Genomic DNA, 11,177 nt, shown 5'->3' on the forward strand with positions numbered 1-11,177 from the left:
CCACAGGGGTCATGTGGCTCCACCAGCCTCAGCCGTTCCCAAAAGCCCAGCTGCTGTTTCAGGGGCTTGCCTGGATAACTTATATCTGAGAGGTTTGCTGCACATCCTTTGAGTGATTTATGGTGAGATCTAAAATTTCTTTGTAAAAAGATACCCTTTTGCTTTGGGAGGGATCACAAGGAGCTCAGCCCTCCAGTGCCCAGGACCACCTGGGCAGATGCCACTGTTGGCACTGTATAATGTCGCCCCCCATGCAGACCTGATCTGAGCTCTGCGTGTCAGGGAATGCCACTTCAGCAGTGCCAGCCTGGGAGCTCCTCCAGCCGGCACCTACTGAGGCAGCAAATGACTTTGGGGAGGCCCTTTGGCTGGGTGCATAGGAGTCTGGGTCCCAGAGACCATAGCTCACATGTCTCAGGCTGCTTATGTACTTCCCCAGAAAGAGCCACTGTCCCAAGTGTGCTTCCTGCTGCTTTTGTGCAGTCCCATCTAGACGAGCCCCTTATGGAGACCCCTCCTCTTCTGCCTGGCACCCAATGCTCCCATCATTCAACACCTGCTACCAACACAGAAGCAGTCCATCCCCTTCTTAAATGCTACAGCCTCTGCCCCGGCGGCCACTAATCATTCTATTCGAGTTTCCCTCCAGAGCTCATCTCAGTAAATCCGGAAGAAGAAAACCTCCATCCCCAGTGAACAAGACCATGAAGGCTGCGTCAGTGTTCCCAGGTTTCAAGCCAAGCTGGAGAAAGATCACAACAGAGACCAGACCCGCATTCTCCGGCCCAATTCCACATGGCTGAGAGAGCCAGCTAACCAGACGCAAACACACGCGGCAGGATGGCACGCGACTGAGGCAAGGAATAAGCCTCAACTCATCAGTAAGTCCACGGGGTCTCCGCCCCCAGCATGTGGGAGAGGGAAACTAGCCCAAAGTCAGCGTCCTGATTGTGCTTTGGATTTGCCCAGGGCTGAGCACTCCCTGGTCCGAGGTACCCAACAAGCTGACCTGAGAATGGGCTGCATCCCCTTCCCTCCCTCCTTCCCTCCTTCCCTCCTCCTCTCCTTCCTCCTCCTCCTCCTCCTCCTCCTCCTCCTCCTCCTCCAGCTGACTCCTTCTGCTGCTGCCTCTGCCGCTGCTGCCTCTGCCGCTGCTGCGGTCTGCAGTCACTTGAAGGAGAAAGATTTCGCAGTACGGCATTCTTAAAGCTGCAGTGTCCAAATTCTCCTTCAAACCCCACTGTCACCGACATCAGCCAACTTACCGGGGTCCTTCGCAGAGGGTAGGTGGGCAAGGAGATGGGGATGGGGGGCTTGGAGAAGTCAGACAGGTGGGAACCAGACGCTCAGACTCTGGCAAGGGTAAAGAGGAGAAGCAGGCTGTACCGTGAGAGCCTCTGCAGTTAAACCAGGTTTCTGGGACTGCAGCGGGACTGCAATGGAGTAGTTTTTTTTTTTAATCGTAAAACCTCCACCAAAATCTTCTCCACAAACTTATACTCTTTGTAGCTTAATTAAAATACAAGGTGCAAACATAAAACCAACATGAGAAAGAAACCCAATCTTTAAAAAAAAAAAGAATTCAAACAGCAATTTAAAAAATTATTCCTAAAAATTTACTCCTGTGAGCAACTGACTCAGCTCTCCCCACAGTGCTGTGCCGGTAAGCCAACGGGGAAGGACCTGGATGGAGTTCTTAGCGCCCAGAGTTTCTGCAAAGTGCAGGCAGAGGACTCCGGCTTCTTAGGGGAGAAAGCTTTTTAAAACCCAAAGGAAAGGGGATCTTTCTGCTGGCTATCCAAGGAGCGTGTCAATGAGCTGATCTAGCATCCAGAAACCAACACACCCCTCCCTGAAAGTTACCTCTCTCCTCTGCTCAGCTGCTGCCGTCCTGCCTGGATGCTGGCAAGTTCAGACTGCTTCGGGAGAGGCAGGACCCGAAATAAGAAGTGTCAGCTGGGTCCCTGCACCCAAATGGTGCCGGGAGTCAATGCTGCAGGAGGCAGGGATGGTCTCCCCCACCATGCACCCGCCCCCCGCCGGTTGAATTTAAACCCCTGACACTGCAAGATGCTCACTCCTATAGAGACACCTCTCCGCGGAGCCTCCTCCCTCCCCCACGCTCTCACACAACTAGGTCCAAAGCTTTGCCCCACCTCCCAGATTTGTTCACCTGAAGATGCTTTTCTTGAAAAAACAAAACAAAACAAAAACAAAAACAGAAGATTGAGACTCTGCAGAGTCTTTAATCCTTAATTCTGGAGAAGGCGGGACTTGTTCAAAAGTTTGAGAATTGCAGCCTGATGCCCAGGAAGGAGCAGAGGTGATGAGCCGACAGTCTGCTTTGCACCAGACAAGTTGACACCGTTGCTTTATCAAGAAGGGCAGAGGTAGACCCGGGGTGAAGAGAAGAGGAAAATTCCTCTCCATCCACTGGCAAATTCTCAACCGTTTGGGAAATCTCTATTTTTGTTTTCCTTCAAGAAAACCCCATTTAAAAAATTGTCAGGCACATGAAATGTTCAAGATTGCCACTAAGTGTCAATTTTGTCCTGACACGTCTGTGATTCTTAAAATTCCCGTTCCTGCTTCTGTGAAAGTTAATAGTCTTTAAGATTGAGGTAGGGATTTAATTGAGAAAATTCCAGGAGAGAGAAGCACTTTAAATGCAGATATGGTTAAGATAGCGCATTCTAATATAACCCACAAGGGGTTAGGCAGAATAGATATACTGAGAGGTAGAAGGTGGTCAGGAATGTAGGTATTTCCAGGTTTTGAGTTTATCACAAACTCAGAGCCCAAGAAAGGAAAATAAAGGAGGAAGTGTGTGTGTGTGTGTGTGTGTGTGTGTTTGAGCGGGGAGACTAAAACTCCCCTTCTAAATAAACTGTTCAGAAAGACCAATTGCATCAATTCCATGTACATTTCATTACTGAAGTAAGACCAGGAGTGTGTGACTTGTTTCTAAACGGAGTGAGAGGGGAGGCTCTGCTGCCCGCATCCTGCTTGGGACACAGCCACACTGCTGCAGTGCACCACAACCAACGTGGGCACAGTGTTTTGCGGCTGCCCTCACCCGCCCTCCCTCGAGGACTTTGGCACACAGGTGAGGCTGTGCAGCCTGCGCTGTGCTGGCGGACAGAGACGAGGGCCAGCCTCGATCAGGCTGTCTTCCTTCTCCTCCTCCTGGCTGCACCCAGGCTGAGGTGGGGGAAGACCACAGACTCATGGGGTGTCATAGTGGGGAAGGCACCCCACAGAGCATGTAACCCAGTCCTTCCATTTCATGAATGGAAGAATGGAAAGGTGAGAAACGGCTGGGCCTTAGTCACCCAAGGTCACCTAGCCTGTGGGATGCAGCGCCTGGATTAGAATTTGGGTCTTCAGATTCTTTGTCCTATGATTTTCTCACTGTACCTGTCATTGCACCCTCTTGGGCAAGTGGTCGGCCTCTACCGCTTCCTCACGTGACCTTGACAATCACTTCTCTGCTCTGTGACTCAGTTTCCTCTCCATAGATGATGTGATAGATGATATGCAGACCAAAGCCAAAGAATTTCAACTCTGAAACCGGGAAAAATACCAAGTTGTCTTCTTGCAGCCAGAGGCAGAGAACAGGCACAGGGTTGAAGTCCAAAGCAAGCGTTTCTTTAGTCTCCTCCAATTTTGAAACCCAGAATGTCATCTGCATTCATTTCCCTGGCTGCCGTAACAACTGACCACAAGCTTGGTGGCTTAAAACAACAGAAATGTATTCTCTTACAGTTCTGGAGGCCAAAAGTCCAAACTCAAGGTATGCGCAGGGTTGGTTCCTTCTGGAGGATCAGAGGGAGAATCTGTCCCAGGCCTCTCTCCAGCTTCTGGGAGTGGCCAGCAATCCTTGGTGTTCCTTGGCTTGTACACACATCACTCCAGTCCCTGTGTTTGTCTTCCCCTCTGTGTGTCTTCTTCCCATAAAGACACTTGTCACTGGATTTAGGGCCCATCTTACTGCAGGATGATCTCATCTCCAGATCCTTAATTACATCTACAAAGACCCTTTTTCCAAATAAAGTCACATTCACAACTTCTAGCGGGACATTTCTTTCTGGGGCCATCTTTCAATCCACGACATCAACCAGTAAAAATTTTCATATGAGAACTGTCTCATGTGAAAACAGCAGTGAAATGTGATGGCCACCGACCCCATCTCAATTTTTTTTTCTTTTTTTTTGAGACGGAGTCTTGCTCTGTCGCCCAGGCTGGAGTGCAGTGGCGCGATCTCGGCTCACGGCAAGCTCCCCATCGAGGGTTCACGCCATTCTCCTGACTCAGCCTCCCGAGTAGCTGGGACTACAGGCACCCGCCACCACGCCCGGCTAATTGTTTTGTATTTTTAGTAGAGACGGGATTTCACCATGTTAGCCAGGATGGTCTCAATCTCCTGACCTCGTGATCCACCCGACTTGGCCTCCCAAAGTTCTGGGATTACAGGCATGAGCCACCGCGCCTGGCCCCCACCCATCTCAATTTTTTGAAGGGTTATAATATGGACTCCTTTGGTTATAAGAAGTTAATAGCTACATCTATAGAATGCTTGGTCTTTTTTTTTTTTTTTTTTTTGGAGACGGAGTTTCGTTCTTGTCGCCCAGGCTGGAGTGCAATGGCGTGATCTCGTTCACTGCAACCTCTGCCTCTCGGGTTCAAGTGATTCTCCTGCCTCAGCCTCCCGAGTATCTGGGATTATGGGCATGCACCACCACGCCTGGCTAATTTTGTATTTTTAGTAGAGACAGTGTTTCTCCATGTTGGTCAGGCTGGTCTCGAACTCCCGACCTCAGGTGATCCGCCCGCCTCAGCCTCCCAAAGTGCTGGGATTACAGGCATGAGCCACTGCACCAGGCCTCGCGCTTGGTCTTTTATAGTTTTTTTTTTTTTCATTTGTGTTGACATTTGATTCTCATACAACCCTCTCAAGGCAGGTGTTATCAGGATCACCCCCATTTTACAGTTGAGGAAACTGAGGCACAAGGAGGTTTGGGTCACATAGCTAGTAGGTGGCAGGATTTAGGCCATCTGGCTCCAGAATGTGTGCCCTTCTCCATGCTTCTGCTTAATCATGCCAGGGCTGCAGATTCTTCTCCGTCTCCACTTTACGCCATTGATTTTCTATCCAACCCAGGTCTCTGATTTGTGTCTCTTGCTGATATTTATTGGGCATTTTTGGATGAGTGCTCTGTACTGATCTAACTTTGGGCATCCTCCTTTGCTGTCTTTACCAGAGACGGTCTCTACTGCCTTTGCATACACAGGGGAAACTCACCAAACTTACTCGTGTGGATCAGCACAGGAAGTCATCCTAAGAATGGGGAATGGCGGGCATGGTGGCTCATGCCTGCAATTCCAGCACTTTGGGAGGCTGAGGTGGGAGAATCCCTTGAGGCCAGGAGTTAGAGACCAGCCTGGCCAACACTGCGAGACTCCCATCTCCAGGAAAAAAAAAAGAAAAAGAATGGAGGAAACTTGTTGTTGCACATCTAACTTGGCCAGAGTGACTAACAAAATGTCTCTTGGGGCAATAATTAATGGAAATGAGCATTCATTTTTAAATCAAAAAGAAAAAAGAAACTGAAGGACACTGGCAGCCTTTTGGACACTGTCAAGGTTGCAGGTCTTTGCTTTTGACCGCCCCTTTCCCAGCCATGTTTTGTCAAACTTGATGATCCTTTCCCTTTCTTCAAGAGCTAATTCTAACATATGTTTGATTTCTTCTTAGCCCCTAAGTCCTCACAGCTTTGGCATGCAAATACCCCTGTCAACTTAGGTCTTGATTTTCAAAAATGCATGCAGTCTAATTCCTGTTTGCACCTCCAGTCGTGGCGATGAGAAGTTTGCACACACAGGGGTGGAAGGCAGATACAGCTACATTCTTTTCCTTGGCTCCCTTTTGTGGGGTTAATATGCAACAATCCCACTGTCTCTTTTATTTTCAGTAACAGCAGGAGAAAACTAGGTTAAACCTAGGGAAACTGTTCTGTCTGGAAGTTGTTCTAAAATATTACCTCTAAAGTTAATCGCACAGTCTTTCCCTATTTTTTTTTTTTTTTTTTTTTTTGAGATGGAGTTTTGCTCTTGTTGCCCAGGCTAGAGTGCAATGGTGCGATCTCAGCTCACTGCAACCTCCGCCTCCCGGGTTCAAGCAATTCTCCTGCCTCAGCCTCCTGAGTAGCTGGGATTACAGGCATGCACCACCATGGCTGGCTAATTTTGTATTTTTAGTGGAGATGGGGTTTCTCCATGTTGGTCAGGCTGGTCTCAAACTCCCAACTTCAGATAATCCGCCCGCCTCAGCCTCCCAAAGCGCTGGGATTCCAGGCATGAGCCACTGCATGGCCGTCTTTCCCTTTTAAGGATGAGGCAGAACCCCTAAATGGCCGGAAATGGTGCTGCCTGGAGAAGAGGGCTGGCCAAGATAAACTCAAGATCGCCATTCTATTCAGGAGAGTCCCCATGTCTTAAATCATAAAAAGTCCCCTGACCTCTGGATGGTAAAACATCTGGACTGGAGACAGTTGCATGCATCATAGTGACTCTTCTTTCCGGATGAGTAAAGCCTTCTCTGATGACCTCAATGTGCTTGGCCTCTTCTCCACCAACACAAAACCACAGTTCACAGGGAGGGGAACAAGATGGCGGCTTTCATTATCAATAGAAGATGAAGGTTTTCCCTGCCTTGAATCTCTTATATAGCTCATGTTGATAACTGCACTGCATGGAGTTCATTCTGCTCCAAGCAATGCCATGTGAGGCTATGAAGATCACAAAGTCAAACGTAGGTCATGATTCGTAAACTCCCTTCCACCCAAAGCAGTCGTGTTCTTTCTTCCTCTTGCTTCTGCATCCTCAGCCATGGGCTGGCAACCTCCCATCCACCCAATCTGGCTCTTGGGATATTTAGCAAACCCATAAATGTTCAAATATCAGGTGGGCCAGCTTATATATGCACACTGTGGGTTTTCTGACTTGTTCATTTCATACGCGTTTGTGGAGTGCCTACTATGTGCAGAGCAGGGGAGAGATTCAAATTCAGTCCACGCTGATTGAAGTCTTTGCTGGCTTCTCCTTTTCCCTGAATGAAACTAAAGTTTTGCTTGCACCGCATAGATCGTTCCTGTGTCTTTGCTAAGATGCTGGGGGGTAACTGACTTCTGTGGAGATTCTTCTCAAAGGAGTCTTGTTTAACAGAAGAATGAAGACACTAACTACAAAGGAATGAAGGATGCATTTTCAGATCCTGCAGCCAAATGAAAAATATTTCCATTGCATGGAAGCCTTCCTGGGGTCCCTGACATGCATAGGATGTCATGTCATGACATGAGCCATGAACATCTCTGCACATGGAGCCCACATCCCTTGGTCTAGCCCCAAACGTCCCCTTATCAGAGTCCTTCCTTCAAGACAGCACCCCAGCTCCTTCTCACCCCATCCCTCGCTCAGCCTTTTTTCTCTTCCAAGCATGTGTGTCGGCACCTGGCATTATACTTATTTGTTTATTCTTTTTTTGAGATGGAGTCTTGCTCTGTCACGCAGGCTGGAGTGAGGCGGCACGATCTCGGCTCACTGCAACCTCCACCTTCTGGGTTCAAGCGATTCTCCTGCCTCAGCCTCCCGAGTAGCTGGGATTACAGGTGTATGCCACCATGCTTGGCTAATTTTTTGTATTTTTAGTTTCACCATGTTGGCCAGGCTGGTCTTGAACTCCTGACCTCAAGTGATTCACCCTCCTCGGTCTCCAAAAGTGCTGGGATTACAGACATGAGCCACCACGCCCCGCCTGTTTATTCTTTATTGCTTATAATTGTTAAAATAACAGTAATTATTGCCCGGCACAGTGGCTCATGCCTGTAATGCACTTTGGGAGACCGAGGGGGGCGGATCACCTGAAGTTGGGAGTTTGAGACCAGCCTGACCAACATGGAGAAACCCCATCTCTACTAAAAATACAAAATTAGCTGGGCGTGGTGGGGCATACCTGTAATCCCAGCTACTCGGGAAACTGAGGCGGGAGAATCGCTTGAACCCGGAAGGCGGAGGTTGCAGTGAGCCGAGATTGTGCCATAGCACTCCAGCCTGGGCAATAAGAGCAAAACTCCATCTCAAGAAACAAAAACAAACAAAAAAACCCCACAATAATTATTTTATTATTGTTATTATTGTTTAAATATTTAGTTATGATTATTTAAGGAATTTATTATTATTTGCCTCCCTGCATGAGAACACAATGGTCCCCCAGGCAGAGAAGTCGGCTGTCTCTTCCCCGCGTCGTCCCAGCACTAGGACAGTGCCCAGAATGCAGTCGGACTCCGTAAACATTTGTAAATGAAGGAAGGAAGACATACGTTCCCTTTCTTCTCCATCTGTGCCTGGTGGAATAGTTCACCAATTCCAGGCAACCCTATGGTCTGCACCACTGGGGGGACTTCCTTTTTTTTTTTTTTTGGAAACAGAGTCTCACTCTGTGTCCCAGGCTGGAGGACCGGGGCGCGATCTCGGCTCACTGCAACCTCTGCTTCCTGGGCTCAAGTGATACATGTGCCTCGGCCTTCTGAGTAGCTGGAATTACAGGCACCTGCCACTACACCCGGAAAATTTTTGTATTATCTGTAGAGAAAGAGTTTCGCCATGTTGGCCAGGTTGGTCTCGAACTCCTGGCCTCAAGCAATCTGCCTTCTTTGGCCTCCAAAGTGCTGGGATTACAGGCGTGAGCCACTGTGCCCGGCCCACTGGGGGACTTCTAATTCCCCCCTAAGTGACAGTTGGCCTCCCACAGCCCGCATGACAGCTCCCCAGACCACGGCCCACAGAAGTTGCTGCTGCCGTTCCCAACACGCAGGCTGGGTGGATGGGCTGACTTGGGCAGCCCACCCCTCTGCAATTCTACCCCCTTCAGAGCTGCCCCTTGTCTTAGAATAAAGCGCAGACCCCTCCCCAAGGCCATGGGGCTAAGAGGTCCAATTGCTGCCCGCTGTCCTCTGCCCACAGCCTCCTCTGGGCCCCCTTCTCCTTCACTTGCTCGGCTCCAGCAAGTCGAGCTTCCTTTGGTTTCTTCACAAGGTCCACCTGGCCCCTTGTCCCCTCCAGGTGTCAACCCAGCGCTCCCTCCTCAGACAGGCACCATCTGATGTCTTCTCTAGAAGCCATCTCTGCTCCCCACCCCGCTTCCCAGCCAGTCCCTGTCCGCCGCATCTGCTGTGTGTGTGTCTCTGGCTTCTCTAACAATGCATGTGTGCCTCTGCCAGCCACAGCCCTGTAGGCCAGGCATGGTGGCTCACGCCAGTAATCCCAATACTTTGGAAGGCTGAGCTGAGAGGGTTGCTTGAGCTCAGGAGTTCAAAACCAGCCTGGGCAACATAGTGAGACTCTGTCTCTATTAAAAAAAAAAAAAAATTAAAATGGCCGGGCGCGGTGGCTCACGCCTGTAATCCCTGCACTTTGGGAGGCTGAGGCAGGCAGATCACCTGAGGTCTGAAGTTCGAGACCAGCCTGACTAACACGGAGAAACCCCGTCTCTACTAAAATACAAAAAAGTTAGCCAGGCATGGTGGCGCATGCCTGTAATCCCAGCTACTTGGGAGGCTGAGGCAGCAGAATCACTTGAACACAGGAGGTGGAGGTTGCGGTGAGCTGAGATTACGCCATTGCACTCCAGCCTGGTCAACAAGAGTGAAGCTCCATCTCAAAAAAAAAATTAAAAAATCATCCGGGCATGGTGGTGTGTGCCTATGGTCCCAGCTACTCGGGAGCCTGAGGTGGGAGAATTGCTTGAGCCCAGGAGGTGGAGACTGCAGTGAATCATGACTGTGCCACTACACTCCAGCCTGGGTGATAGAGCAAGAAGACCCTGTCTCCAAAAAAAAAAAAGAAAAAAGAAACAGCACCGTAAGGGTAGGGCCTCCTCAGCTTCCCTCATCAATGAACAACCTGTGCCCAGGAGAGCACCTGGCATCAATAAACAACAGTAATATCTGCTGGATATGGGGATGAATGACCGCTCCAGGTACTTGGCCTGTGGCTGTCTTTCCACCACCTTCTGTATGAGTCTCCCAGGACCACTGTAACAAAGTTCCACAGACTGGGGGGGCTGGAACACCAGAAACTCATTTCCTCACAGCTCTGGAGGCCGGAAAGCCAAGTTAAGGTGTGAGCAGGGCTGGTTTCTCCTGAGGCCTCTCCGTGGTTTGCAGACACCACCTTCTCCCTGTGTCCTCACAGGGCCTTCCCTCTGTGTATGCCTGTGTCCCAATCGCCTCTTCTTATGAGGACAGCAGTCCGACTGGATTAGGGCTCACCCTAACGACCTTATTTTCACTCAGTGACCTCTTTAAAGACCCTACCTCCAAGTAGAGTCATTTGGAGGTACTGGGGGTTAGGGCTTCAATATTGAATTATGGCTTCAATATACGAATATTGAGGTAACACAATAAATGAATTTGGGGGCTTCAGTATATGAATTTGGGGCTTCAATATATGAATTTGGGGGGACACAATTCAGCTCCTAACAAGCCCCATGCAATCCACTTAGGAAGGAGGGAAGGAAGGAAGGAAGGAAGCCCCCACCGCCTCCCCGTCTTGGGCTGGCTGGGACCACACTCTTCCGCTGGCCTCGGATTTCAGGGCCCAGCTCTCAGCCTCCCTCCCACCCCTTCCTCCCAGGGACCTCAACCTCCCTGTTGCTCATGTTGTACTCATTGAGACCTCTCCTTAGATCCTGTTTATGCAGCCTGGTATCCTGTTGCTAAGCCCACCGCAGGTCAATTGCTCCCATTGGTTCAGTGCTTACTAAGGGCCAAGCGCTGCCTGGCCATATTCTCCACATTAAACATATTTAACCCTCACGTAACCCACAAGGCAGCTCTGACTCTCCCTCCTGTTACATGGGAGGAAACCCAAGCTCAGACAGGTCAAATGACTCAACCGAGGTCACAGAGCGGAAAGCGGGGGACCCAGAGTCCACCCGGGCTTCAGCTCCAGGCACGAGCTCTGAGCACTGCTCAACCACAGACTACCAGGGCATGTCACAAGTGGGGAGGGGGCAACAGGCAGGCTGGCACCCTTCGAGCCTCAGCACATGAGGCAATTGGTAAACTAACGACCAAGGAAGAGACAGGAACATAATAAAGAGCAGAATACAAATATAA

Source organism: Homo sapiens, chromosome 1 (assembly GCF_000001405.40).
Source record: "Homo sapiens chromosome 1, GRCh38.p14 Primary Assembly".
NCBI lineage: Eukaryota > Metazoa > Chordata > Mammalia > Primates > Hominidae > Homo > Homo sapiens.